The sequence below is a fragment of the Homo sapiens genome, chromosome 1 (assembly GCF_000001405.40).
Source record: "Homo sapiens chromosome 1, GRCh38.p14 Primary Assembly".
NCBI lineage: Eukaryota > Metazoa > Chordata > Mammalia > Primates > Hominidae > Homo > Homo sapiens.
The window spans coordinates 2,230,551-2,257,756 of record NC_000001.11 but is presented as its reverse complement, the minus strand read 5'-3'; the positions used below and the strand labels follow the sequence as shown (position 1 = coordinate 2,257,756).

The window sequence follows — 27,206 nt, the reverse complement described above, 5'->3', positions numbered from 1 at the left end:
CAAAAATAAATAAATAAGTAAATAAATAAATATATAAAATATAAAAATCTTTTGCAAATCCAGAGAAACATGTCAAGAAGATATAATAATTCAAAAGCATGAGGAAAGAAATCCAGTTTTAAGACGGAAGAGCAACATCGCTTCAACCCCATTCTCCTCTCAAAAATCGCCGAGAGCCCGGCTCTTGGATGAAGGAAGCATTGTCTCGAGCTCAAGCACACATAGGGCAGGAGGCAGCTGGGAGGAGGCGGCTGGGGGCCAAGCAGCTGCAGAGGCAGACGCTAGGGAGCCACGCCGACGCGCTCTGGCACCAAAGCGCCACCATGGGAGGGGAGGCCTTGCAGAAGCAGGATCGGGGCTGGCCCGCACGTCTGCATAAGAGCCATCCGCGGGCTCCCAGGTGCCCTCCCCCTTGCAGCCATTGGCACGTCAGCCTTGACGTGACCAGATGGTCAAGAATTGGCAATGTGGGGAAATGCCCCTTTAAAGCCGAGGTCTGAAACCAACCAAAGGAATGCAGAGGAAACCAGCAGGACAAACTGTCAAGAAAAACATCATTAATGTCTGCAGCAACAGGAGAAAGATACAGCATCCACAAGTCACAAAAGGTGGGAGCTTTTACAAAGAGATAGATATCTTAGAAACGAAAATGAAATCATGAAACTAAAAGTAGCCAACAAAGAAAGTGCTCATGATAAGGCGGAGACCTCCAGAGAGTAATCCTGAGCCACAAGGGAACAGCAGGGAGACCACAGCAACCGGAGCACCAGTGCCAGGAGGACCAACGTCCAGCCCTAGGGAGCACCGAGCAGAAGATGCCACGGGCACCATCCCGAAGATCGGGGCGCGAGCCTCCTGGCAACAAAAACCTGACAAGGGCCCAATAGGCGCCCAACACAGGGCCAAACACAAGCCGCCTCGAGGTGTCTGACAAGACATTTTGAATGCCAGATCTAAGAGGAGGTTCTGAAAGCTCCTGAAGGGCACAGTCAGGTCACATGTCAGAGCCCAAAGCAGATGGCAGGGGACTTCGCCATGGGGACACCAGAGGCAAGACGCTGAGGAGCGCCGACAAGTGTTCTGTTCCAGCCCTCCATACACGGGTGCCCAGTTACCAGGTCAGCCATGCAACACCCAAAGCACGTGCCTCCCAGGCACCCAACTGCACAGTGTGCTGTGGCTACTCAGGTAAGGATGAACCCAGGAGGGGAACCCCTAGAATCCCTCACCAGGAAGAGCACAGAAATACCCAGGGCGGGCAGGTGAGGGCCAGCTGGCCATCGGCCTCTGGACCACAGAGGGAGGGGGCAGAGAAGAACGCTGGAGCAAGGACGGAGCAGCCAGAGATCCTGAGAAAACCAAGCAAGGGAGTAAAAACCAAGATGATGCCTAACTCCAGGAACACACAGTGGAGAGGAAATGAGGTCAGGCACGCAACTCCAAGACAGAAAGCAGCACAGACAGGAAATGAGGTAAGGACACAGAGAGCTCCAGACAGGAAATGAGGTCAGGACACAAGACAGGAAATGAGGTCAGGACAGAGTGCTCCAGACAGGAAATGAGGTCAGGACACAGAGTGGCACAGATAAGAAATGAGGTCAGGACACAGAGTGGCACAGACTGGAAAAGAGGTCAGGACACAAGAGTGGCACAGACAGGAAATGAGGTCAGTACACAGAGTGCTCCTGACAGGAAATGAGATCAGGACAGAGAGAGCTCCAGACAGGAAATGCAGTCCGGGCACAGTGTGTTGCATACAGGAAATGAGGTCAGGACAAAGAGTGGCACAGACAGGAAATGAGGTCAGGACAGAGTGACACAGACAGGAAATGAGGTCACTGGCTCCAGACAGGAAATGAGGTCAGGACAGAGAGAGCTCCAGAGAGGAAATGCAATCCGGACACAGCATGTTCCAGACAGGAAATGAGGTCAGGACAAAGGGTGGCACAAACAGGAAATGAGGTCAGGATACAGAGTGCTCCAGACAGAAAATGAGGTCCGGACAAAGTGGCACAGACAGGAAATGATATCAGGATACAGCATGTTCCAGACAGGAAATGAGGTCAGGACATAGAGAGATCCAGACAGGAAATGAGGTCAGGACAGAGAGAGCTCCAGACAGGAAATGCAGTTAGGACACAGCATGTTCCAGACAGGAAATGAGGTCAGGACAAAGGGTGGCACAGACAGAAAATGAGGTCAGGACAGAGCGGCACAGACAGGAAATGAGGTCAGGACACAGAGAGCTCCAGGCAGGAAATGAGGTCAGGACACAGTGTGTTCCAGACAGGAAATGAGGTCAGGACAGTGTGCTCCAGACAGGAAATGAAGTCAGGACACAGTGTTCCAGATAAGAAATGGGGTCAGAAGACACCACTCAGTCATATTAATCAGCCAAAGGATAGATTTATCAAAACTCAAGACGCAAGGTGTCAGCACGTGGGGCTGTGGCAGGTACAGGTCTAAGCAGCTGGACTGAGGTCAAGCACCATAGTGCTTGTCACACTCAGGTACGTGGGGGTCACTCAGGTACATGGGGTCAACAGAAGACTATGCAGCAAGAATGGGGAGCGTCCCTGCCTGTGGAAAGTTGGGGAGGACAGGATGGGGACACTGGCTGTCATCATTCAGCTTTTGGTATGCCATGGACTCCTTAGCTAAAGATAAAAGACAAAAGAAAGGCCGCATGGTAGGGTGACCGACACCTGAGAGAAACTGGCCTAACAAGCACGTGGGGTGTGGTGCCAGTCCACAGCACGCACCACAGGACACAGAGGTGACACTGTGGGGCAGTGCCCAGCCATGTCCCCTAAAAGCCACCTGCACCCAAGTGCACAGCACAGGCATTTGGAGGAAAGAAGTGTTGTTGTGGCTGTCTCCACCCTCAGAAACCCCCCAGAGCTCACCTGACCGCAGGGACCCCATAGGTGTGCAGCAGGGGGGCTGCACGCCTCAGGTGCAAATGCCAATGGCCCGTGCTATTCCACCAGCAAATGCCCTGCGCATCACACACACACACACACGCACGCAGTGACCACAGTCTGGCCAAGACTGTGATAACTTCAGGAACAAAGAGAAGACTCCAATTCGGCTCCTACCTCCCAGTCCACTTCACCCCTCCCCAGAGATAGTGGTGACGGCCACAAGTCTAGGCACAAGGCCAGACAGGTAGACCGGTCACTGCACACAAGGACAGGCTGACAGCCAGAGGCCGCGTCTTCAACGCACCCAGACTGAGTATCAAGTAAATTAAAATAAAAAGCAGTCCAGTAGACATCTAAGTAGGACCTCAAGCCTTCGGGAAGGGACGGTAATCCTAGGATGAGGCATTGCCATTTCAGGGCTGTTTGGGACGGGGACATGTCACGCTGGAGATCTCAGTGCAGCAGAGTCCCCCAAGCACCCTGTGACACGAAGACCCACGGGGGGAGAGCAGAGCCGAGCCCTCCCACCCCCTCCAACGGGCACCACGCATGGAGACCAGTTGGGCCAGCACTCTTGCAGGCGCACCAGCAGGTCGTGGCCTCCTCTAGCGTGGACCTTCCAGATTCTTCACAATCAGTGTCTGGAGGGGAACAAGCAGCTCCCACGTGGGTCCAACACCTCAGAGGAGCAGCGCCAGTGCCAACCCCAGCCCCTCATGGTCACTGGAGCCCACCTGGAATGTCTAGAATGGTGCCTTCTGTGCAAGAGCCACATGAGGCAGCTCCGGACAAGCATCCGTGGCCTGACGACCAGGCACGTGGCCCTTGCCGCCGTGGTCCACACAGCCAGGATGGGCATCCAGAAGGACCCAGAGCCTTCTCTTCCAGCAGCAGGCACTCTGGGGACACCACTCTGGCCCAAGATGTGTGCACACCACCAGAAAGCAACCCTCAGCAAGTCCAGCATCGATGCCCGGCCCCCGCACACACCTCCCCTCTGCTGTCACTGTGGGCTCTCAGCCCTGGTAGGGGGGGCACAACACCCCCAAACCAAGGCCTCAAGCCAGGGCCGCACCAGGGCACGAGGGACCCGCAGCCTCACTCCCAGGGCCCCTGTGGGCAGCAGCACCAGCTCCATCCTCCATCTGCTCGCACCGTTCCTAGCTGTCAGAACTGGGGGCATGTGGCTCATTTAGTAAGTGCACACGCGCTGGGAAGATGTCCTCAGGAACAAAAGTGAGGAGGCCCTGGCAGAGGCCAGCAGCCCCCTGAGACAGGGCATATGTGCAGGAAGGGCTGACAGGAACATAAGGCTGCGTGTCCTGTTCCTTCCGATTCCTCCAAGTGTGTGTCCAAGGACGACCTGCACTCACAAGTGGCCAGGCTTCTCCCTGGGTTGTAAACCAAGGGATACACCAAAACTCAGGAAGCCCCCTTTATGGATAACTCCAGACACCTAAAGTCTGGGGAGCCTCCCACCTTTTGCCCGCTGTGCTGGAGCCCGTGATACCGGCCTGGGTGCTCTGGAGCCCATGATACCAACCTGGGTGCTCTGGAGCCCGTGATACCGGCCCGGGTGCTCTGGAGCCTGTGATGTAGGCCTGGGTGCTCCAGACTCCACAGGGGAGGCTGCGCTGCAGGCGGGTGCTGGACTCACAGAGCAGCTAAAGCAACTGAACTGAATCGCGTTATGAAATATTTACTCCAATTTAGCAACTCTATTTTTTTTTTTTTTTTCAGACAGGGTCTCACTCCATCACCCAGGCTGCAGTACAGTGGCATGACCTGGGCTCACTGCAACCTCTGCCTCCCGGATTCAAGCTCTTCTCATGCCTCAGCCTCCCAAGTAGCTGGGATTACAGGCACCTGCAACCACGCCCGGCTAATTTTTGTATTTTCAGTAGAGATGGAGTTTTGCCATTTTGATCCAGGCTGGTCTCAAACTCCTGACCTCAAGTGATCTGCCCATCGCCAACTCCAAAAGTGCTGGGATTACAGGCACGAGATACCGCGCCTGGCCTCACTTCCTTCTTGTAACGTTCAATATTTCACTCTTCCACGGATGCGCTGGGACCATGGGACGGCTCTTCCAGAAGAGCTGAGCACCAGCCTGGTGCTGGCCCTGAGGGAGGAACCCATACCACGCGTTTGGGGACAGCTGTGAGGACGCTGGCCGGGTACTCCAGAGGGCCACAGACTGTGCCAGAAAGGACCGTGAGCAAGGGGCTGCTCCCTTCCCTGAGCTGTACCTGCTCCGCGGGCACTGACTGCTGGGCCGCCAGGTTTCTCTCGAGTGTGGAAATAAAGACCCTCAGTCAGCAGCTCAGACGGACGAAAGCCTTCCACAGGCCAAAACACCATGACATAAAGGGGCCCTGCAGAGGTTAGTGCCAGGTGGGACCCGGGACCAAGCTGCTTCTGGGGAGGCTGAGTGCAGCCCTGCACCAGGATCAGAACGTGGGGCAGCCTCCTCAGCAGCCACAGCACCCTCCTGGGGCCCAGGGGATTCTCAATCGAGCCAGGCCACAGCAAACCCTGGTCTTGGGACACAGCCCCCTACTCAGCTTTCTCACCTTTCACGGAGCAGCTAAAAATGAATGGACCCGTTCTTTACAAGACTTTTGAAAACTTAAGGTAGGATAAAGTTTGTTATTAAACTGGAGATTCCAACCCTCCACATCTGAAGAGCGCCCTACCTGCCCTCGGTTCCTCCTCCTCCTCCTCAGATCTCTCACCGGGGGGTGCACAGAGACCTGGCAGGAAACCCCGAGAGGCCTCCCCACAGGTGTGCAGAGCACTGGCAAAGACCAGCATCACTCCCACGTGCCACGGCGCGTCTGGGCACAGCCACTGCCAGGAACAGTGAAATGTCAACGGACATGACAGCTGGGGAGGCCTCCAGAGACGAGGCCAGATAAGCCGGTTCAGCCACGCTGTGCCCGGAGCCAAGGGGCGGGGAGGGAAGCAAGAAGGGGAGAAGCTGCAGGTTTGTGTCACTGGCCAACAACAACCAGACTCGAGAAAATGGTCGACATTCACGAGGAAAGAAATACTTTGCGGTTCATTTTTCTAGAAAAAGCCACCGTGTACAAACACAATTTCACAGCTGAGACCTGTGAACCTATCACATACATTGGGTTCCACCAGTGACATGGAGCAGGTCTCCCACTGCCCGGCGCCAGCCCCCCCAGATGCTGCCCACACAGAGGCAGTAACCGTTACACAGGCGAGGGCTCTACAGGGAAAGGAGGGCGGCTGCAGCTGGGGATGAGCCTCGATGGCCCCACACGACCTGGGGACCAGGACAGGAGTGAACACACCATACGTCACTGTGGTGGGACGTGAGGGCGCTTGAGAGCTGGGAAAACCCTGCCGGCTCTGAAATAAGACCTCAGCAGGGGCTGGGGCAGGGGGAGGGAGCGGGGGTTCACACCTGTAATCCCAGTACTGTGGGACACCAGGCGGGAGGATGGCTCAAGCCCAGGAATTCACGACCAGCCTGGGCCACAGAGTGAGACCCCATCTCTACAAAAAATAAATAAATAAAAGAACATCAGCAGATACCCAGACCTGTGGGCAGCCAACAGAAGGTCAACTTGGGCATCAAAACTGTGACTAGAACGGACAGTAAGTGACTCTTTCCGAACACGGTCCGCAGCGCTACTACACGGCAAGAAGGCAGGCGGGAGGAGAAAGGCGAGACTCCAGCAGCAGCAGTGGCCAAGAGTGCGGTCAGTGCCCCACGTCCCCATCCCTAAGACAAGCAGACTCACCAGGGATCCTGGCCCACCCGGATAAAGTCCATGGGGACAGGGGACTTTTGGGGTCCAAAGTTCCCCTCGGCGGATTACTCATTAATTACCAAGGGAGAGGCTCCCCTGAGAAAAGCATGGGGGCCGCTTGCTCCTGATGCCTCCCACGCCTCTGATAGGGCACCGGCCCCCCGGGGCTGCCGCTACCCACCTGCCCGTCCGGGCCCTGCCAACGCGCAGCCAGCTGCCTAGGGCAACGAGGCAGGCCCAAGAGAAGAGTCAGCTGAGCCGCCAGGCAGGTCCCAGGCAGAAGTAAACTACTGAAGAGGGCGTGGCAGACACGGCAGAGCGTGGCCAGGGGAGCCAGCTTCCCAGACTTGGTCACCGTGTCACGGTCACACACCACATCCCCTTACTTTTAGAAATTCAGAATGAAGGGCTTAGCAGGGAGGACCCCACTGACTGAAACATTCTCTCAAATGACCGGCAAAAAGTTGCAAAAACAGTCGTGGCGAGAGGAGGCCAGTGCCAGCAGCAGCTGAGCTCAGGGAATGGGGACTCACCACGTTCTTCCTGCAACTTCGCTGTATGTAGGTTTGGAGATTTCTCAAAATAAAAAGACCCAAACCAAGGACAGGCAGCAGGCTTGCAAATGGGCCACTTCCTGCTCCTCCATCAGCCATGGACAGTGGCATACCTGGGCAGCAGTGGCCACCCCACACTCGAGGACACGCTGGGAACGGACAGCGGGTTCTGGGACGGCCAGAGAGCGGCACGAGGGCTACCCAGCACCACACGGGACTCTCTGTTGAGCAGGGCAATGAGCACCCTTAACTTTTAAGACACTGAGTGGTTTCCTTAAAACAGGTGGCCATGGCCAGGTGCGATGGCTCATGCCTGTAATCCCAGCACTTTGGGAGGCCAAGGCGGCTGCATCACTTGAGGTCAGGAGTTCGAGACTAGCTTGGCCAACATGGTGAAACCCCGTCTCTACTAAAAATACAAATATTAGCCGGGCGTGGTGGGCGGGCGCCTGTAATCCCAGCTATTCGGGAGGCTGAGGCAGGAGAATCACTTGAATCCAGGAGGCGGAGGTTGCTGTGAGCCAAGATCACACCACTGCACTCCAGCCTGGGAGACAGAGTGACACTGTATCAAAAAAAAAAACTGTGGCCAAAAGATGCAAGCTGCAACAGCAGCAAGACACCGAACTCCAACAACCCGAAATGTTCTGACTGTAACAAACTCTCCAACTGTAAAAACATCTCCAATTCCAGTTCAACAACCTGGGTCATAATTGACGAATCCAACAAAACCTGTGGCCTGTTGAGCAGGAGGCAGGACAGGGAGGCCCCATGAGGCCGCGGCCAGTGAGTCGGTTGGAGCAGGGGACACCGTGAGCCCTCTGTGCTGGCTCTTCCCTCCTCCACGCTTTTGGCCCCAACAGCAGCAGGTGGGGAGTCAAGCATCTCTCAGCTGGCTCTCCACTCACTGCCTTGCTCTCATTTCCAGAAACATCTCTTCCGAATAAGAATCACCTGGGGTCGGTTTCAGCCCACTCAGACCACACCATGGGTGAGGAGCCGGCCACCCGGGACCACCAAAGGCAGAGACACTTGAAAGGGTCCCCCTCAGCCTTGATCTCAAAACAGCCCTGGGGCACTGAAGGCTGAACTGAGCAGACAATTGTCTCCCATTGCCAGGGAACCTCCTGGTGGCACGGCTGTCTGCGTGGCCGGCAACGCTAGGAACATCCGGCCTGCACGCTGGACCCTGGAGCCTCACACGTCCTCAGCCTGTAGAATTCCCCCAGCACCTCCACGAATGAGGCAAGGGGCCCTGTGGACCCAACCACAATGGGACCTGATGCCCAGGCCCAGGTCAGACACACCCTGCACGCCCACCAACAACGCTGCCATGAAAGCTGGCCTCCAACTCAGAGCCGACCATCAGGGTGGCAGTGCCAGGCAGCACCAAGAAACAACAGCACTCGACCGCATCTGCCACTGGCCTGACAGCCTCGCACACTCCAGGCATTTTGCTAAGTACCTACGGGAATCCATCAGCTGACCACCAGGCTGGCTGGCTGTGGGCACAGTCCCCGTGCCAGCGCCCAGACGCGGCTCCTGAGATGGCTTGTGGGACCCAGCTGCCTCTTCCAAACAGGAGAGGGGCCAATGGGAAACTGAGGCCTAGAAAAGTAACGTGGCCCACACTCAGAGTAGGAAGGTAGCCCAGCCATGCTCCTAAACCCTAAGCCACGCTGCCTCTCTACGCTCCTAGAAACTTCCACTTGACTGAAATAATCAAAAAGTACACTGACCACTATTTGCACAGAGAAGACGTGAGAAGGAAAGACAGTGAGTTAAACAGCAAACCCAGCTGCAGTGACTTTCACTTCACTGTGGGCAAAGGAAAACCAACAGGTACAGCCAGTGCCTGCCAGAGAGGCTGCCCCACGGCTTTTCTGAACCAGCGCAGAGCGCCGCCCCGCCTCAGGTCAAAGGCTGCCTGTCCAGGCCCCGCCACTGCCAGGCTTCCTTTTGAATCCAACCAGCACCGTCACAGTTGCATTGCCCCAGTGGCGCAGGGGCCCCAGCGTTATTTGCAAAACAAAAAGTGAGGACCCTCCACTGGAGAGCCACCCTGCGGCGCCCCTCATTAATATTCAACAGTTAGGACAAAGCCGGACAAAAGAGCAGAGCGGGTCACCAAGCTCAGAACCCACCCTGAGTCCCACAGCCTGCTCCTGATTCCAAGATGGGGCCTTTGGAAACCAAGTAACGGAAATGGCTGCCAGCCAGGCTGAGTCCGGGCAGCCCCGGAGAGGGGACGCGGCAGTGTGGGCACCACCCAGCCAGGCCAAAGCAGAACCTAGGAGCTCCCCCCAAGAACCTGGTGGCCTCAGGGCCTGGAAAGGCAGCTGGCCAGGCCCCTAGGGCTCTGGGGAAGGAATGTGGGCTGCTCCAGAAAGTCCCCAAAAGCACCAGGGTCCTTCCGCGCACTCACCACAGCCTCTCCGTGAGGCACCGGTGCACAAGAGCAGACACGACGCGACCAAGGCCCCCCGCCACCGCGCCCCCCCGTCACCACCAGCAGAGCCAAACAAGTCAACATGGGGCTGAAACTGGTCCCAGCCCACATGCCCTGGTAAAAGGGGCGGGCACGCTGCGTCCAAGGGCTGTCCCAGCTGCGTTGGCAATGGCGCATCCAGGGGAAGGAGGCCAAGGTGTGCAGCCAGCAGTAAGGCCCCTTCCCGAGAGCCAGACTGGACTCGGGCTGGGGCAGCTGTGTGCTCCCCAAGGGCACCTGTGGGGCCCAGGAAAGAGGAAGAGCAAGTCCTGATGCCAGGAGCAGGCCCTGGGCTCCTAGGTTCAGGAAAAAGTCAAGGCCAAGCCAGCAGATTGTCCCAGAAACCCCAAGTGGCCAGGGCAAGGGGGTACATACTTCTTGCCTGGTGGCTGCACCCCAACCCCAGGGAGGCATTTCTAGGGGCTGCCAGAGAATGGCCCCTTGCCCCGGGTCCACCACACCACCCACATTTGGCAATGGGTTCCAAAGGGAGGAACGTGACAGGCTTCTGTGAGGTGGCAAGTATCATCTTCAGCGAAGCCATCATTTTGCTAAAAGAACTTTCTCCAGGATCTGGCAGGATATAACTTCAGAGCCAGAAGAAAGGAGGGAGAAGCACGCTGCAAACAGGCCCTTGGTCATTTGGGAGTCTGGGGTCCTCTCGCTGCCCTTCCCTGGCTCCAGGCTGAGGGCGCCCCTGACCCAGGCCCTTCCCTCTCCAGCTGCACACACCCATGCACACCTGTGCACACACATGCCCACGGCTCCCTTTTTTGTTTTTTGTTTTTTTAAGATGGAGTCTTGCTCTGTTGCCCAGGCTGAAGTGCAGTGGCACAATCTCGGCTCACTGCAAACTCCGACTCCCAGGTTCAAGTGATTCTCCTGCCTCAGCCTCCCAAGTAGCTGGGACCAGGTGCATGCCACCACACCTGGCTAACTTTTGTATTTTTAGTAGAGACGAGATTTCACCATATTGGCCAGGCTGGTCTTGAACTCCTGACCTTGTGATCCGCTGGCCTCAGCCTCCCAAAGTGCTGGGATTACAGGCGTGAGCCACCGTGCCCGGCCTGTGCCCATGGCTCTTGCACAGGCCTCCCAGAAAGCAGAAGCAGCCTGGCCACAGTGGGCGAGGTGGAGGTTCCTGAGGCCCCCCCCATCAGGTTCCTCTTTGCTGCTGCTACAGGCCAGGCACACGGTAGGTGCCCCTTCACAGAAGAGCAGCCCCATCAGGCCCGACTGCCGCACTCTCTGAGACTCCCTCCCCCAATGGCACTCACAGCCTTCGGCCCCAGCAGGTCACTGTCATCTCTTCATCACACAGAAGCCCTCTCCATGAACACCACCAGTCCCGGCAGAGCCCCCGCCCAGCTCGCACAAAGGAGGGGTGGGGAGTCTGACTTGCAGACAGCGCTGCACACCGAGGCTCACAGAGCGTCTCCTCTTACAAACATGAATCTGGCGCCGAGACGCTCCAGCTTCCTGACCACCACAGCAGAGGACAGAGGCAGCCTCCAGCAACAGAGGCAGGATCCGACCACGGTGCACGCAGTAGACAAACAGGAGACAGAAATTTACAAGTAGAACAGGATCACTAACCAGAGTAGATAAAGACGTACAACTGAGCAAAGGCCCCCACACACAACTCGACTCAAAGAGGGACTCAGACATTCCTCAAAGAGGATATAGGAGTGGCCAATAAGCACACGAAAAAATGCCCAACATACTAATCATCAGGGAAATGAGAACCAAAACCACAATGAGATGCCACCTCACACCCATTAGGATGGCCGCTGTCAAAAAACAGAACAAGTGCTGGAGAGGATGCAAAGACAGTGCTGCTCGAACGCTGTTGCTGGGAGTGGAAAATGCTGCAGCCACTATGAAAAACAGTCGGTTCTTTAAAAAGAAAAACGGGCTGAATGCGGTGGCTCACGCCTGTAATCCCAGCACTTTGGGAGGCCGAGGCGGGATGACGGCTTGAGGCCAGGAGTCAGAGACCAGCCTGGCCAACGTGGCGAAACCCGTCTCTACTAAAAAAACAAAAATTAGCCAGGTGTGGTGGCACACACCTATAGCCCCAGCTACTCAGGAGGCTGAGGCAGGAGAATCACTTGAACCTGGGAGGCGGAGGTTGCAGTGAGCCGAGACTGTGCCACCGCACTCTGGCCTGGGCAACAGAGTGAGACCCTGCCTCAAAAAAAAAAAAAAAAAAAAAAAAAAGAAGGAAAAATAGGGCCAGGTGCAGTGGCTGACGCTTGTAATCCCAGCACTTTAGGAGGCCAAGGCGGGCAGGTCACATAAGGTCAAGAATTCAAGATTAGCCTGGCCAACATGGTGAAACCCCATCTCCACTAAAAATACAAAAATCAGCTGGGCATGGTGGCACATGCCTTTAGTCCCAGCTACTTGGGAGGCTGAGACAGGAGAATCGCTTGAGCCCAGGAGGAGGTGGAGGCTGCAGTGAGCCGAGATCGTGCCACTGCACTCCAGCCTGGGCAACAGAGCAAGATGCTGTCTCAAAAATAAATGAATAAAAATAGAATGATCAATGATCCAGCAATCCCACTTCTGGGTCTACACCCAGAACTGAAGGCAGGGTCTCCAGAGGTCACTGTGCACCCGTGCTCACAGCAGCATCATTCACGACAGCTAAACTGTGGAAGTCACCCGTGTGTCCACTGACAGAAATGGGTAAACAAAATACATCCATACAGCAGCCTGCGGTTCAGTCTTGAGAAGGAAGGAGACTGTGACACAGGCTACGCATGGCTGCGCCTTGAGGACATGGTGCTGAGTGAAATAAGCTGTCACAAAAGGACAGATCCTGTGCGATTCCACTCACAGGAGGCCCCTAGAGTCACCAAAGTCACAGAAACAGAAAGCGGCGGGTGGGTGTTGGGGGCTGGGGGAGGCAGAATGGGGAGTGAGTGTCTCATGGGGACAAAGGCTGAGCCTGGGAAGGTGGGTGAACAGCAGCGTGAATTTGCTTTACAGTTTTAGCTGTTCTGAGGTTAGGTGCGTATATATTATTGTTAGATCTTCCAGTTGATTCGACCCTTTTATTGTTCTGTAACTACTTTTCTGTTTCTAGTAATAGTTTCTGAAGAAAAGTATATTTTGTTTGATACAAATGGAGCCACTCCTGTTTTCTTTTGGTCACCAATGGCATGGGATGTCTTTTTCCATTCCTTCACTGTCAGCCTATGTGTTCAACACTGCTGAATGCTACATGTAATGGTCAACATTATGTTTATTTTGCCACAATAAGAAAATGTAATATGCACAAGTTACAGAAAAAAATACTGAAATAACAAAACAATCAACCCACCAAAAAGCAAAGAAATACAAACTAAATGATGAGATTTTTCACCTTTCAAATTAACAAAGACACTCTAAATGACAGAATCTTGTTTTTGCTTTTCGTTTTTTGAGACAGAGTCTCGCTCTGTCACCCAGGCTGTAGTACAATGGCGCCATCTCAGCTCACTGCAACCTTCACCTCCCAGGTTCAAGCTATTCTCCAGCCTCAGCCTCCCAAGTAGCTGGGACTACAGGTGCACACCACCACGCCCAGGTAATTTTTGTATTTTTCTAGTAGAAACATGGTGTCACCATGTTGGCCAGGCTGGTCTTGAAAACCTGACCTCAAGTGATCCACCCACCTTGGCCTCCCAAAGTGCTGGGATTACAGGTGTGAGCCACCATGCCCAGCCTAAATGACAGAATCTTAAAAGTTGTCAGGAGGGGCCAGGTGCAGTGGCTCACGCCTGTAATCCCAGCACTTTGGGAGGCCGAGGCAGGCGGATCACGAGGTCAGGAGATGAGACCATCCTGGCTAACACGGTGAAACCCCATCTCTACTAAAAATACAAAAAATTATCCGGGTGTGGTGGCGGGCACCTGTAGACCCAGCTACTCAGGAGACTGAGGCAGGAGAATGGGATGAACCCGGGAGGCGGAGCTTGCAATGAGCCGAGATCATGCCATTGCACTCCAGCCTGGGTGACAGAGCGAGACTCTGTGTCAAAAAAAGAAAGAAAGAAAGAAAGAAAAGTTTGGGTAAAACAATCCCACCTTTTAGGGGAATCTCAGAGTCCACTAAGGAAATGATCAGAAACGTGAACAAAGATCTAAGCACACACAGAATCATCCCAGCTGAGTGAACATACAAAAGCAATCTATAGAGATGTGTATTGCGTGTGCGTGTATCAGTAAATAACAGGGTGCCTGGCAGACAGTGTGCCTCCCCTCTGACCTGCCACGTCTACAAGAAACTCACCACACCCCTAGCATCCCATGCAGCAGAGAACTCGTTTACAGCCAACAAGACCGATGACAGGGAGTGTTGGGACGCTTTGGAAGACAGCCTGGCGTGACCGACATGCCCTCTGACCAAGCTGTTTCACTCCCAGGCCCACATGGTGCACCACAGCCTACCCAACAGCAAGCACTCTGCCCACTCGTCCCAAGGCACAAGAACAGGACGAGCAAAGCTGCACGGTGACACTGACACAGTGAGTCAGCCAGAGTGACAGGCACTCGGAGAGCACACGCGCAGACCAGCAGCCTGACAGGAGCTCCTGCAACAGAGCACAACGGCCAGCCTGCACCCACAGCTGCAGAAAGGGCAGGCGGGGCATAAGGATGGCGGCCCCCTGCCGAGGAGCACGAGAGGGCAGGGCGGGGATGAAGCAGGTGGTACGCGGAGCACACTGACATCTCGTGCAGCCAGCACATGGTCACGAAGCCCGTGTGATGTGTTTGTGCTGACACGCGCCCTGAAGCATCTCTTGCGATACCAAAACACGGCCCATGCCCCAGACACTAAGTAAGTTCCAGACTCTCAATACCAACGGATACTCCAAAATACCACAGGGCTGGCCCAAAAAGGCACCAGGCACCCAAGGCACTCATATCCCAAAGCTGCTGAGCAGAGCAGGGCAGGTGGGGAACCGCGTTCACACGCCCTTGTGACAAACCAAGAACAACTCTGCCCTCACCCATGTCTGCGTTTGCCTTTTATAACCTTCTGTGCTATGTGAATACCGTGCTGGTGTGCTTTTCACTTACTTCTTACAAGCATGTCACAATAATATTCCCACAGAGAACACAGCCACAGAAATACTTGTTATGCCTCATTCAGGGAAAAAGGCAGACCTTAGTGCACATATGGAAAAATCCAATTACGAAAAATACTTTCAGGCCAGGAGTGGTGGCTCACAGCACTTTGGGAGGCTGAGGCAGGAGGATCACTTGAGCCCAGGAGTTTCAGACCAGTCTGGGTAACAAACGGAGATCACATCTCTAAAATTAAAAAAAATATCCGCCAGGCGTGGTGATGCCCACCTACAGTCCCGGCTACTCAGGAAGCTGAGGCGGGAGAATCTCTTGAGCCCAAGATGTCAAAGCTGCAGTGAGCTGGGATCACACCACTGCACTCCAACACAGATGACAGAGCGAGACCTTGTCTCCAAAAATAAGAAAAAGAAAAATCTTTCCATCAATGTGGTAGAGATTACAGTGAGGGCAGGGACACCCACTCCCCTGCGGGGCCAGAAGGGGCCACGGTAGGCCACATCCCGGCTTCCCACGTTTCCAGCGACAGAGATGTGGTACATTCCTGCCTCTCCCCTGACGTGAACAAACAGGACACTGTACTTCTCCCCCAACCCACCAAGAACAAAGACAGAGAAGGGGTTACCCTCTGCACTCTTCTCGGCTGTTCTGGGGTTCTTTGATGAGCACATACCAATTGCTTCTCTGATTACTCTCCTGACTAGACATGCACGGGAAGTGTTCACATACATTTACAGAGGTTCACCACTAGCGGCTGGGGGCCACACCAAGGGACGCATCACATGAGGAAGGTCACCGACGGTCTCTAGGTGGGGAGGCTGGCCCTCCTCCAACCAGCTCCGCTCTCTCCTGGCCTGCTGCCTCCCAACAAGATATTGACTCTGCCAGGCTCAGGTCAGCACGCGGGACTGTCCCCACAGCCCATCACAGCACCACACACGTACACACAGGCACACACAGGCACACACACACACACACACACAGACAGGCATGCACGGAAGACCCATCCATCGCACGCAGTGCTGTCCCTGGGTCCCGAAAAGCAGCAGGAAAACACTTCTGAGACAGGAAGGACCTGAACATGGGCTGGTGTCCGGAAATTGCCCTCAGCTTTGTTAGGCAAGGTAATGGGTCATGGTGAGCGTTTTTTATGATTCCATATTCCTTAGATGTGGATATTGAAACACTTAAATATGAAATAAGATGATGCCTGGGATTTGCTTCAAAAAATTACAGTCCTGGCCGGGCGCAGTGGCTCACACCTGTAATCCTAGCACTTTGGGAGGCCGAGGCGGGCGGATCGCGAGGTCAGGAGATCGAGACCATCCTGGCTAAAACGGTAAAACCCCGTCTCTACTAAAAACACAAAAAAATTAGCCGGGCACGGTGGCGGGCACCTGTAGTCCCAGCTACTCGGGAGGCTGAGGCAGGAGAATGGCGTGAACCCGGGAGACAGAGCTTGCAGTGAGCGGAGATCGCAGCACTGCACTATAGCCTGGGCGACAGAGCAGGACTCAGTCTCAAAGAAAAAAAAAATTACAATCCCTCCCCCTCAAAATAGGAGAGGGAGTTGGATGAAACAAAATGAGTGAGCTGTGGATAACTGGTGAACGGGATACATGGGGTGCATTGAGCTAATCTCTCTACTTCAGTGAAAGCTGGAAATTTTCCACACAGGATGGCACTTTGAAGTCCACAGACATATTTAAGCCGCAAGTTCATAATGACAGTAAAATGAGAATTGTTCCCACTGGTCCCCACAGGCAAGTGTGAGGGGACCCTGGGCCCTCTGTGCCCTGGAGTGAAGTGATGGAGCCCGCAGGGCCCCACCTTCTGGGCCCACAGCATCCTGGGCTCCCTCTTCCATGTGTCAACGTTTAGGCAGAAAATGGCAGAGGCCAGGGATGTGGGGCGGCCACAGAGCTCCTACAAAGCCCTCGCCTGCAGCTCCTGTGTGCATCCTGCAGTTACCCACCAAAGCTCAACCAGGGAGCCCAGGGCATCTCAGGGGCTGAACACAGCTGAGGAGGATTGGGGTCGACGCAGGGCCACTTCCCCAGCAGTGCCGAAGGGCTGTGGACGGCCCCCACACTGGGCAGCACGGATTTTCCTAAGAGCTGTGGTTTCTCGCGCCTCTCACCTGACTCACGAACAACAGGATGCTGTGCTTCTCCCCTCCCACCAAGGGTGAAGTCCGTGTCTGCGCCACCGCTCTCCTGGATCTAGAACTGTCCTCCATCCTCCGAACAAGTAGAGAGAGCTTCACTTCGAAGAATTCCAAGTTTTCTTGTTAATGCTGTATGGTTACTTCGGGCTAAAGAGAACTCTGCTTCTTAAAATCCTCTTGATTTCTTCTTCTGGGAGCCTCGATGGCCCCAGGAAGCCAGCGGTCCCAGTCCCGCAGCCTTGCCCCACAACCAGCCACCACCCGCCACCACCCACGGGACCTCCTCATGGGGGCCAGGCAACATTGTGACAGCATGTGGCTTGCCGCCAAGTGCTTCTGGCAGTTCAGAGTCCCAGACACACTCCTGCCCGTAGCCAGACCTGCCTGGCCCACATTTCTTGAGGCTGCTAGGAGGCGCCTGCCCCTCCCACGTTCCTCCAGGCCCAGGACTCCCTCCTCCCTGACTTCTCTGCCGGTGGCTTCCCACCGGTGTCGCTTCTCCAGGCCTGTGGCCATTTCACCCTCCCAGAGGCCTCCTCGGCCAAGGTCCCAGAAAGTGGAGAAGAACCCGGAGGACAGCAGCCTCTGTGGTGGGGGCCACCCTGCGGGGTCCTGGCCACCTCCCTCAGCCCTTGGGGCCACACTTCACTGAGCAAACCAGGACAAGAGACCCCACAGACACTCCTGAGAGAAAACAGGTCCTCCTTCATCTACAGTCCATTGAAACACCAAAGAAATCACAATCCAAATAACGACGTTCAGCTGGGAAAATTAAAAACCCATCTACACTAGAGGCGCCGAGCTCAGTCAGGGAACCGAACAGGGGTGGGGGCACTGAAGTTACGGGGACCCGCAAAGGACGCAGCTGAAGCAGCAGTGGGGAGCAGAAGCACACCTAAACCCAGTGGAAGGAGCCAGCTGCGCCACTGCCCAGGCACACTGGGACGCCCCGGAGGGCAGGATGAGCCTAGACACAGGCCTCACTCAGCCCCGGAGCCGTGAAAGCTGCTCTGAGAAGCCTCCCGTTGGCCAGGAAAGACTTCAAAGTGAGGGGTTCTCGCCTCTCCCAAACTGAACTGTGAACCCCAAGGCCCACGCACAACCATCCACCAGCATCACCAGGGAGCCCGCCACCAGGACCGGCCCTTGCCACTGCACACCTTGCGGGTCCCCGGCACGCGGGCCATCCAGGTTGAAACCCTTCCTGACTCCATTCAGGTCCAGGGTGTGTCCCCGTACAAAGGTGCCGCCAACGGCTACACCCACATGGGATGAAGGTTCTCCCGTTCCCCCAACGGGAGCTCAAGACCACGCACGAGGCAGGTCCCCACCCCAGCCAGTGACAAGGAAGACATCGAGCCCGGCTTGACTCGAAGAGCCACACAGAGGCAACCCAGGGGGTTTACCTTGTTTTCACAGTTTAAAGAGCTTTATAAATTAAGACAAAACCCACTAGGGTCAGGCAAGCTGGGCGCCACTCACCGCATCCAAGAATGTTAACAAAAATCACAGTTTTGATAGTTCTGCAAAAAAAAACTTAGCAAATTTACAACAAAACTGTCAAGTAATTAAGGCAAGGCACTTCACACATGAACTTAAACTGCTAATTAAAATCCCCTCGCTTAATTGACTACATTTGCATATCATTCAACTTGGTAGTATAATTTTTTTAATGGTTTGGGCAACAGGGTTGTAGCCAGGAAAGGCGGAGGCAGCAGGTGAGGCAGAGCGAAGGCACTGCCAACGGCACAACCCGGAGCACCAGGCAGGTGGCCAGGGACCATGCCAGGCCGGGTCCCCACCCCCCTCCAGGTCCACACGGGCGTCCAGGGAAGCAGCAGCTGAGATCTCACAGACGCCACACCAGCTATGGAGGTCCTGGGTATCCCTAACCCAGAAGGCAGCCTGGGGCAGGCTTCAGTGCAAGCACACGGAATACCTCCCTCCCCAGTGTGGCCTGGCCCGCTGACAGCGGAGGTTCTGCACACAGCTCTCACTCGGTGAGTGCCAGCCCACAGGACACAGGCAGCGGCGCAGGTGGCCTCAGTGGACGTGTACACCTTCAGCACCACACACGCAGTGTCCACAGCTCCGCAGAGGGTGGCTCGGCTGCCCTGTCCAGTGTGCTCCTCTCCCGCCTGGACCAGGGGTCAGAGTCCAGACCCCACGCTCACCCTCACCAGGCAGGCAAGAGTCCCCTCACTCTGGGGCCCCGGGCTTGTGCCACCTCTGCAGAGGGAAGTCTCAAGGCTGGGAGTGCCCGGCCCCCATCCTCAGGCATCAGAGCCTGTCAGGGCCATGGAGGCAGAGCACCCTGTGCCCAGAGGCCCAACCGGTGCCATGGCAGGCCTGTCCTGGGTACCGTGTAGGTCCACGCAGGGCCGCCGACCTTCCAGGGAAGCGCAGGGAACAGCATGCCTAGGATGCAGAGGCCCAGCTTGGCCCAGTCATCTGGGAAACCATAAAAAAAGAGGGCCACGGGCAGCTGGAGCTGCCATCCACTGCCACGCAGAGGCTTCTCAGGCCACAGGATCCTGAAGGGAGGCACGGGGACAAACTGCTTCCTAAGGAAGGCTCGGGTTCTCTGAGCACGGACAATGAGGCCTAACTCCTCTCAGACAGACCTCCCAGGGCCAGCTGGTGAGGGAGGGAGCCAAGGATGCCCACCCTGGAGCTGCCTGGACCGTGGGCAGCCACACCAGGCGGGGACCTGGGGCTGCCACAGCCCAGCGCCTGGCACAGAGAAGCCCTTGACAGCACCAGGCGGGAGGGCACCGGGGAGAGACGCCCGCCACACGAGGGTGATCAGCCTCTCAAGGCCCGTTGGACTCCTTAAGTAACCCGTCCTGGATAGGGTCAAATGGGCCAACCTCAGACCTCCCACAGAGGGCGCCAGCCTCCCGGGGCCCTCAGGGATGAGGCGTTCACGCGTGTTCTGCAGGACGAGCTCAGCACCCGGCCAGACTGGCCTCCACGCTAAGGACAGACACGTTCCCTCAACAGGGCAAGAAGGACCCAGCCTATGGGCCTTATTTCCAAAAAAAGAAACCAAGAGCATTTCTGTTTCTGGGCAAAGATACATCTGCTCCATAGTAAAAGCAACAATGTTTCCATGTTACTTTCCCGGCAGAGAAAGCCTGCATCAGACTCTGCAACAACTGTGCCCCCAGTCAGCCTCCTCTCAACAGCTGGACCAGGGGTTCCCAGCAGGCAGCACCCCAACCAGGACAGGGTGAGGGCGGGTCTGCAGGCTGACAGCCGCTTCTTATTCTCATCACTTACAGGTTCACTCCTGGGCAGAACAACACAACGTAATTAGCGGACACCTGGCTCTCCTGGCAACATGGTTTCCCCTGTAGAAGAAGACTGACATCAAAGGAAACCACCGGCACAGCCGCAGCCTTCAGGAACCACAGCAGCCAGGAGCACCGCAGGGAGCACCTAAGCCACTCCAGATACACACAGGGCGTGGACAGAGAGACAGAGGCAGCGCCAGCACCGCTGGACACCTGCTGGGCGCTCCCTGCCCTCCCACCACCCCTCACCCACTCCTGACGCACTTCCCGGTGAGGTCAGCCAGTCCTCAGGTGCCCCCATAACGGCACACAAGCTGTCGTGGAGTCACCATCACCTCACACACGCAGCTCAGGGGTCAGGTCTGGTCGGGAAGGGCCACACAAGAACCCAGTTAGTGCCCTGGGTCCTGGGGTGGAACCCTCAGGACAGAGAAAGATCCCTGATTTGGGTGATGGCATCCCCTGCCACCCATGCCCACCTGAGGCCGCCAGCCTGAGCTGCGTTTCTCTGAAACAAGCAGCACCGTGGGACCTGCAGGAAGCCTAGAACAGGAGCTGTTTCTTTCTAAGTCAGCCGCCGACGTTCCAGCAGAAGCCGCAGTTGGTCCAGGCAGGGCTGAGAGCTGGGAGGAGCATCAGCACTCAGCCTCACCAGCCAAGGGTAATAATATTCCAGCAACTTCCCAGCCCTCAATATGGAACCAGGGTAGAAGCGCCCCCCAGGTCAGAAGACGGTGAACCAATTTCTTCCAAAGGTGGAACAATGGCCAGGCGCAATGGCTCATGCCTGTAATCCCAACACTTTGGGAGGCCGAGGTGGGCAGATCAAGAGGTCAGGAGATGGAGACCATCCTGGCCAACATGGTAAAACCCCGTCTCTACTAAAATACAAAAAATTAGCCAGGCGTGGTGGCACGCACCTGTAGTCCCAGCTGCTCAGGAGGCTGAGGCAGGGGAATTGCTTGAACCCGGGAGGCTGAGGTTGCAGTGAGCCGAGATCACGCCACTGCACTCCAGCCTGGGCAACAGAGCAAGACTCCATCTCAAAAAAAAAAATGGTGAAACAGTGAGAAAAGAAACAGCATTCTCCTTCTAGCCAAAGAATGGACCTGCCAATAAACCTTGACTGCCAGTGCCTGCAGAGTTCCACTGAGTCATTCAGTGAGTTATTGAATCTGGCCCCCAAACTGGGGACCCAGACGTGACCAGGCGTCCCTAACCCTAGCCCCTGAAGCCAGCAACACAACCACACAGGCAACAACCCCCACGGCCAGTGAGACAAGCACCCCAGCAGAGGCAGCCCAAGAAGGCCTGACCAAGGCCGCCAGGTGTGCCAGCCCAAGAGGCAGGCCTAAACGCCCCGATTCAGCATCTGCAGCTGCAGAGGCACCGAGGCAGAGCACTCCTTCCATCTTTATGAGTCAAAAAGGTAAAATCAGAGAAGACACGAACACCAAGCACCGAACAGAATCTCGGCCGTTTCCCAGGATCACGCCGAGACGCCTCTCAAAGCCCCCTTTATCTGTTTCCCCCCAAACAAAAGACAGGAGCATTACTCAAAGGAATAAGCACTTCAAGCGAAGGCCTACTAGGCGGCCGGCAGGACACATGCTGAGGGCCACAGGCGCCAGGCACCACCACGCCACCTCCGGGCCATGGCCAACGCAGGTGCTCAGTCCATCTGGTCCTAGTCTGGATTTTACTATTGTCCCCACAATCTCATTTAAAATTCACACTCAAGTCCTGGTTCTTCATTTTCGTAAATAAGCAGGCTCATGTGGCAGCATGTCCCCAGAGCTGGAGGCTCCCTGGGCCCCCCATCGAGGCCACCCCAGCAAGGCAGCCTGGAAAAATATCAAGTACCACACAGTGAAACCAACATGCAGGCTCTGGGAAGCGGGGCCCTTCTGGAACTCTCTCATATTCACAAAGCAGCAGCACCTAAGAGCTATCGCTTATCATGCCCCCCAGCCCCCGGGGTGAGCCAGAGCTTCCTGAGGGTCACCTGGCATGGCACCTGGTCTGCAGAGGGCAACCAGGCCTCGAGAGAACAGGTGGCACAGTGGGGGCGACCCCTCCAGCCCGCAGACCCCGGGGATGCCTTCCGTGGCAGAACCCACTCCAGGGGCCAGGCACAGTGGCTTATGCCTGTAATCCCAGCACTCTGGGAGGCCAAGGTGGGCAGATAACTTGAGGTCAGGAGTTCGAGACCAGGCTGGCCAACATGGTGAAACCCCATCTCTACTAAAAATACAAAAAAATTACTTGGGTGTGGTGGCACACATCTGTAATCCCAGCTACCAGGAGGCTGGGGCAGGAGAATCGCTTGAACCCAGGAGACGGAGGCTGCAGTGAGCCAAGATCGCACCACTGCACTCCAGCCTGGGCAACAGAAACAGACCCTGTCTCAAAAAAAAAAAAAAATAACAACAAAAAAAAACCCTGCTCCAGACCACGAGGGTGACAGCCAGGGCAGGGCAGGAAGGAGCCGCCCTACCACCCGCTCTGGAGGCCAGGTGTAAAGAGCTGGTCCCCAGGCAGCCCCCCCTCCATGACACCCTGGCCTGGTGACCACTGCTCAGGAGGGGAAGAGCCCTGAAGAATAAGGACAGGGGCCTTCTTTTCCAGCTCTCCCAGATATTAGGGAAATAATTCACCTTCTGTATTTTGACTCAAAACAAAGAAACTTTTTAAAAACATTTCAGTTGAAGCTTGCATAATTCTTCCAGTGGAGAAATCCTCCCTCAACTTTCGCAATCCTTAGAAAGAGACACATTATTGCCACAGAGAGCCGGGCCGCCGGCGTGGACACCTCCTGCCAGACAGTCAGGGCCCAGGCCCCGGAACCACCGCCTTCTCTCTGGAGGCCCTGCCAGCAGCAGTGAAGGCCTAACCTAAGCTGGGGCTGTGGCCCCACAACCCCGAGAGACTCCAGGGCGGGGTTCGGCTCACACTTACCCCAGACTTCCTCGCACCATATCCTGTCTGCCCTCACCCGGAGACTCAGACAGACAGACATTGCACAAATAGCCGCAGGGACGGCTGAGAAACAAGATGCTGAAAGAGAGGACTAGCCCCCCCACCGTGACCCTGCTGCCCCAGAAGGCGAGGGACCCAGCCCAGCTCCCAGAGGGGTCCCAGACAGACGGATGACAGACCATGCCGGGAAAATGACCACTAAGCTCTGCTCCCTGCAGAAGCCACCTGGGGGCAGCTGCCCATGCCCTCCCCAGTCCGTGCACAGCCAGCTGGGGTGGGCAGAGGTCAAGAACCACTCTCGAGCTGCTGTTTCCCCTGCTTGAGAAGACTCAGCAGCCGGCCGTCTTTCCGGAACCCTCACCTGGGGGGCAGACCAGCCCAAACCCGCAGACCCTGGCCTTCTGCACGGGGACCAGGGCCTGCCGGGAGCCTGACCCCAGAGCATGGCCCAAGACTACAGGGAACCCCACGAAAAGCTGGAGAAAAACACTTGCAGCAAACACTTTTTCCAAAGGAAGCTGGTGGACAAAGGGACAGATAGCCCCCGAAGTGCTCCCCGGACCTGAGGGTGTCTGGGAGAGCACAGCCCCAAACCCACACACGGCCGCTGAGCTGAGTGAGGGGTGTCCCAGAAAGAAACTCTTGATGCTGTCCCTTCCTGTGATCATTTCAGCTTAAAACAGCAAAGAGCAAAACACAACTCCTCCCCAGAGGCTCTCCAAGCCCAGCAACCCCTTCCTGGCCTCCACAAGCTCAGTCATTCCCCAGAACAGACCTCGAGACTCAAAGGTCTCAAGCCCGACCACCTGGCTGGGCACCTGCCTGAAGAAACGCTGCCTGGGGCCAGGGGCAGCCTTGCAGTGACACGGGTCAAAAGCCAGCATGAGGGATCAGAAAACCCCCGTCGCGGACCCTCCACTGGGAAGCGCGCAGAGCTTCCCAACCAAGCGACCCTCAACCCACAGCCCACTGAGACCCACGCCAGCCCACACAGCGCAAGGGCAAGGGGACCTGCAAGACCCCTGGGAATTCAGGCATCTGCAGGACAGAGCAACAACACTGTAACACAACCCAAATTCTCCAGTCACCAGAATGCCCAGACTGCACGTGGCAGGTGAAGAACAGCTCTCACACAGGCAGCCCACCGCCCCTAGGAACAGGACGCCCGGCCCCCTCGGAGCAGGACCCCCGGCCCAGAACAGGACCCTGGCCCCCTCAGAACAGGATCCCGGACCTCTGGGAACAGGACCCCCCCCACCAGCCCTGTTGGAACAGAAACCCCGGCCCCCTCGGAGCAGGACCCCCCCTTGGAGCAGGATCCTGCCACGGCCCAAGGGAAGCACGGCACCACCCTGTTATCAGCCTGCACGGAAAGCGCTTGGCTGACGTTCTGCGGGACAAGGGGCCGCGTCCCAGGCAGCAGGCCAAGCGGCAGCTCCAACTGCCACATTTTGTCTCCGTCTCTGACAGCTGTCTATACTGACAAAAAAATGTAGTCCAATGGAGTCCTACAGCTATCAGAGAACCCGAGGAAGGAGGCGAGCCGACCGGAAAGAAGAAAGAGGGGTGGGAGTGGGGAAGGCTCAGAGGCTCCAGTCTTGGCTAAGTGCTCCCAGCAGCACAATGACCCATCTGTGCCCCACCTGTACCACTCAAAACATAAAGTCCAAGATCAATAAACAGTAGTCCCCAGTTTACACTGAGGCAGAGAGGTTAAGCAACTCGTCCAAGGTCACAAAGCCAGTGTGGGACCGAGTGGGGAGGTGAGACAAGGTCCCCTGTCAAGGATAGCAGCCCCAGGGTCCCTAAGAGGAGACTCGCCAAGCACCCATGCAGCCCACATGGTCTTCCAAGATACAGCAGCAGGAAGCTGGCCGGGCCCGACAGCCACTGGACAGAAGCGGAGGCTTCCTCTGTAACCCCGTGACATGAGGGGGCATCTGGAGGAAGACTGTCTGCCCCTCATGCTGCCACTGCACTGCCGACAGGCCAGAGGCTCAGGCACAGCCGCTGTCACAGGAGGCTTCCAAGGAGAAAGCTGCAGCCCTGCCTCCCACTTGGTTTGGGACCCGGGAACATCTCCGCCCTCTCCCACCTCCCACCATGGGTAGGAGAGTGGCGCTGACCCAGCCCACTCAGGCAGGAGACCCGACCCTGGCCTGGCCACAAACACCCGGAAGGCAATTCAGCCCCCTCCGGCTCCGCAGAGCCCGAAGGCCTGCTGGGAGCAGCAGCCCTGCAAAGAGAGTTCCAGTACATTCTTTGTTCTGCCCTCATCTTCGGCAGATCAAAAATATTAAAATAAGCTACAAAGGAAGTGAAGAAATCAAAACATATCCCGAGAATAAGCTGTCAAGACACGAGTGGGAGGAGCCAACGGCGGCCAGTGAGGGCGGAGGCGGGGCCTCCCAGGCCACTCCTTCTAGGACAAGTAGGGTCTGGGCACTGTGGGTCCACGCCCACCCTGAGACCACACTCCCTTCTCATGTGTCGCTCCTGTGCACACAGAGACACGCACACGGCTGTCCTGAGGAGACTTAAGGGGACCCTGAAGCCCAGAACTCCCAAGTGCACAGTCACAGAGCCTAAAGGGCAGGCACTGAGCGAGGGCAGAGTCCCTGGCCGCCATCCCACGTCAAGAACATAGAGCAGGAGGCAACACGGGCAGGATGGGTGCCCCACCCCCAGGAGCATGAGGAGAGGAAAACCCGCAGGAGCTGGTGAACATTCAGGGAGCCAGGCGGAGGACACCACTGCCAGGGCCAGGCTGTGTGGCTGCCACTCAGGCCTAGAGGACGCAGTCACTCACACCGTGCACGTCGTCAGTATGGCCTGGGAATTGCTTTTTAATCGGTAAATGAAATTTCAGAGCAGTGCTGGGGACTTCAAAAGGGAAAGGCGGCTCGGAGGCATCCGCTGAGATGACCAGAGCCTGTCTGGCCTGTCTCTATGGCGGCCCAAGGACCCCGGCGCTCACAACCACAGGGAGAGAGAAGCCGGGTGGCCTGGGCCCTGCTCTGTGTCAGCTGTGACAACGAGGCCCCACTGGCCACTCCAATGGGCCCCCAGCAAAGCCCAGGAAGACAGAAAGACCACAAGCACACACATGACCCACAGTCGGACAAAAACAAACGCAGACACACCCTGCTCAACCGAGATCCTCTGCCATCAGCTCTGAAGACAGTGACGTGAGCGTGTCCCAGCAGCTCAGGCCTTGGCCACAGGTGACCCACTACGCAGCCTGCACGAGCCCACAATCCCCCCCGACATGTGGCTTCCTCCAGCCACAGGCACTGACGAGGGTGCGGCCACCCCAAAAAGAAAGGCCCCAGCCCACAGGGAGCGCCATCGGGCCCACCCCAACCAACTCCCCGTGTGACACGAAGGGCCCCAGCCTGCTACGTCTGTCTGCAGCTCTGCCACGAGCATCCTTCCCCAGCCCACAGGTCTGCAGGCGGCTGCCACCTGAGCCCTGGCCTGGCAGGGTCAGAAGCGCGCACACACAAACACACACATGCACACACACATGCACCCTCCGCAGCCCCCTCCGAGCAGAGGCGACAGTCCCTCGCTTCCATCCACAGCCCCTCCTCCCCACGATCTGACACTCTGCTGGAGGGGCGCCCAGAGAAAACCGGGCTGGAGCATCTATTCACAGATTTAGAAAAAAAAAGTTTGATGCAATAGCTGAATTAATTAGGCCTCCCAAGAATAGCTGAGCCAATGCAGCATTCTGTGTGTGCAATTTAATAAGCCTGGATATTTAAAAGAAAAGTTACAAATACTTGGGGAGGTACGCAACGGAAAGTTCCTGAGGACCCCACTGAGTAATTTCGGCACCTCGTGGCCTGGGAGCTGCCCATGCCGGATCCCATAGATCCTCCAACTGGCAAACAACAAAGCCAGGCCAGCAGCCTCCCTCTCCGGCGCACCCCTCTGC

At 56.4% G+C, this 27,206-nt stretch overlaps 1 protein-coding gene across 5 annotated transcripts in view, besides 16 other annotated features; it reads right to left on the bottom strand.

Annotated features, from left to right (window-relative positions):
* Window positions 1–27,206, bottom strand: part of SKI (SKI proto-oncogene) — an 81,895-nt gene that overhangs the window by 52,457 nt on the left and 2,232 nt on the right. For 2 of the 5 annotated variants that reach the window (XM_005244776.5, XM_047428466.1), the window contains exon 1: window positions 16,965–26,313. The exons of 2 other annotated variants lie outside the window; for them this stretch is intronic. In XM_005244776.5, coding sequence (XP_005244833.1) covers window positions 16,965–17,063 — 99 coding nt within the window. In that variant the 5' untranslated portion in view covers window positions 17,064–26,313. Of the gene's footprint in view, window positions 1–9,685; window positions 10,525–16,964; window positions 26,314–27,206 lie in introns of those variants that run through there. One more of the 5 variants, XM_017002128.2, reaches the window with a different exon arrangement.
* Window positions 408–1,005: an enhancer, noted in NCBI's record as "H3K27ac-H3K4me1 hESC enhancer chr1:2188191-2188788 (GRCh37/hg19 assembly coordinates)". NCBI's record gives its function as "activates a minimal SCP1, AML or CMV promoter by ChIP-STARR-seq in primed H9 embryonic stem cells {active_cell/tissue: H9 hESC(primed)}" and the evidence as "EXISTENCE:reporter gene assay evidence [ECO:0000049][PMID:30033119]".
* Window positions 1,008–2,207: an enhancer, noted in NCBI's record as "P300/CBP strongly-dependent group 1 enhancer chr1:2186989-2188188 (GRCh37/hg19 assembly coordinates)". NCBI's record gives its function as "activates an origin of replication core promoter dependent on BRD2, BRD4, P300/CBP, MED14 and CDK7 cofactors, with strong dependence on P300/CBP, by STARR-seq in HCT116 cells {active_cell/tissue: HCT116}" and the evidence as "EXISTENCE:reporter gene assay evidence [ECO:0000049][PMID:35650434]".
* Window positions 1,673–1,967: an enhancer, noted in NCBI's record as "tiled region #12294; HepG2 Activating non-DNase unmatched - State 14:Gen5', and K562 Activating DNase matched - State 5:Enh". NCBI's record gives its function as "activates a minimal TATA promoter and a strong SV40 promoter by Sharpr-MPRA in HepG2 and K562 cells {active_cell/tissue: HepG2 | K562}" and the evidence as "EXISTENCE:reporter gene assay evidence [ECO:0000049][PMID:27701403]".
* Window positions 7,590–8,516: an enhancer, noted in NCBI's record as "H3K27ac-H3K4me1 hESC enhancer chr1:2180680-2181606 (GRCh37/hg19 assembly coordinates)". NCBI's record gives its function as "activates a minimal SCP1, AML or CMV promoter by ChIP-STARR-seq in naive H9 embryonic stem cells {active_cell/tissue: H9 hESC(naive)}" and the evidence as "EXISTENCE:reporter gene assay evidence [ECO:0000049][PMID:30033119]".
* Window positions 7,590–9,442: a biological region, named in NCBI's record as "hESC enhancers GRCh37_chr1:2179754-2180679 and GRCh37_chr1:2180680-2181606".
* Window positions 8,298–8,692: a silencer, noted in NCBI's record as "fragment chr1:2180504-2180898 (GRCh37/hg19 assembly coordinates)". NCBI's record gives its function as "represses an EF-1alpha promoter that drives an FKBP-Casp9 reporter gene in an ReSE screen in HepG2 liver carcinoma cells {active_cell/tissue: HepG2}" and the evidence as "EXISTENCE:reporter gene assay evidence [ECO:0000049][PMID:32094911]".
* Window positions 8,517–9,442: an enhancer, noted in NCBI's record as "OCT4-NANOG-H3K27ac-H3K4me1 hESC enhancer chr1:2179754-2180679 (GRCh37/hg19 assembly coordinates)". NCBI's record gives its function as "activates a minimal SCP1, AML or CMV promoter by ChIP-STARR-seq in naive and primed H9 embryonic stem cells {active_cell/tissue: H9 hESC(naive and primed)}" and the evidence as "EXISTENCE:reporter gene assay evidence [ECO:0000049][PMID:30033119]".
* Window positions 9,443–10,369: an enhancer, noted in NCBI's record as "OCT4-NANOG-H3K27ac-H3K4me1 hESC enhancer chr1:2178827-2179753 (GRCh37/hg19 assembly coordinates)". NCBI's record gives its function as "activates a minimal SCP1, AML or CMV promoter by ChIP-STARR-seq in naive and primed H9 embryonic stem cells {active_cell/tissue: H9 hESC(naive and primed)}" and the evidence as "EXISTENCE:reporter gene assay evidence [ECO:0000049][PMID:30033119]".
* Window positions 13,839–14,359: an enhancer, noted in NCBI's record as "H3K4me1 hESC enhancer chr1:2174837-2175357 (GRCh37/hg19 assembly coordinates)". NCBI's record gives its function as "activates a minimal SCP1, AML or CMV promoter by ChIP-STARR-seq in naive H9 embryonic stem cells {active_cell/tissue: H9 hESC(naive)}" and the evidence as "EXISTENCE:reporter gene assay evidence [ECO:0000049][PMID:30033119]".
* Window positions 16,097–17,009: an enhancer, noted in NCBI's record as "H3K27ac-H3K4me1 hESC enhancer chr1:2172187-2173099 (GRCh37/hg19 assembly coordinates)". NCBI's record gives its function as "activates a minimal SCP1, AML or CMV promoter by ChIP-STARR-seq in primed H9 embryonic stem cells {active_cell/tissue: H9 hESC(primed)}" and the evidence as "EXISTENCE:reporter gene assay evidence [ECO:0000049][PMID:30033119]".
* Window positions 19,750–20,662: an enhancer, noted in NCBI's record as "H3K4me1 hESC enhancer chr1:2168534-2169446 (GRCh37/hg19 assembly coordinates)". NCBI's record gives its function as "activates a minimal SCP1, AML or CMV promoter by ChIP-STARR-seq in primed H9 embryonic stem cells {active_cell/tissue: H9 hESC(primed)}" and the evidence as "EXISTENCE:reporter gene assay evidence [ECO:0000049][PMID:30033119]".
* Window positions 20,663–21,575: an enhancer, noted in NCBI's record as "H3K4me1 hESC enhancer chr1:2167621-2168533 (GRCh37/hg19 assembly coordinates)". NCBI's record gives its function as "activates a minimal SCP1, AML or CMV promoter by ChIP-STARR-seq in primed H9 embryonic stem cells {active_cell/tissue: H9 hESC(primed)}" and the evidence as "EXISTENCE:reporter gene assay evidence [ECO:0000049][PMID:30033119]".
* Window positions 23,013–23,192: an enhancer, noted in NCBI's record as "active region_50". NCBI's record gives its function as "activates an Ori minimal core promoter by ATAC-STARR-seq in GM12878 lymphoblastoid cells {active_cell/tissue: GM12878}" and the evidence as "EXISTENCE:reporter gene assay evidence [ECO:0000049][PMID:35858748]".
* Window positions 23,293–23,432: an enhancer, noted in NCBI's record as "active region_49". NCBI's record gives its function as "activates an Ori minimal core promoter by ATAC-STARR-seq in GM12878 lymphoblastoid cells {active_cell/tissue: GM12878}" and the evidence as "EXISTENCE:reporter gene assay evidence [ECO:0000049][PMID:35858748]".
* Window positions 26,206–26,867: an enhancer, noted in NCBI's record as "H3K27ac-H3K4me1 hESC enhancer chr1:2162329-2162990 (GRCh37/hg19 assembly coordinates)". NCBI's record gives its function as "activates a minimal SCP1, AML or CMV promoter by ChIP-STARR-seq in naive and primed H9 embryonic stem cells {active_cell/tissue: H9 hESC(naive and primed)}" and the evidence as "EXISTENCE:reporter gene assay evidence [ECO:0000049][PMID:30033119]".
* Window positions 26,510–26,559: an enhancer, noted in NCBI's record as "active region_48". NCBI's record gives its function as "activates an Ori minimal core promoter by ATAC-STARR-seq in GM12878 lymphoblastoid cells {active_cell/tissue: GM12878}" and the evidence as "EXISTENCE:reporter gene assay evidence [ECO:0000049][PMID:35858748]".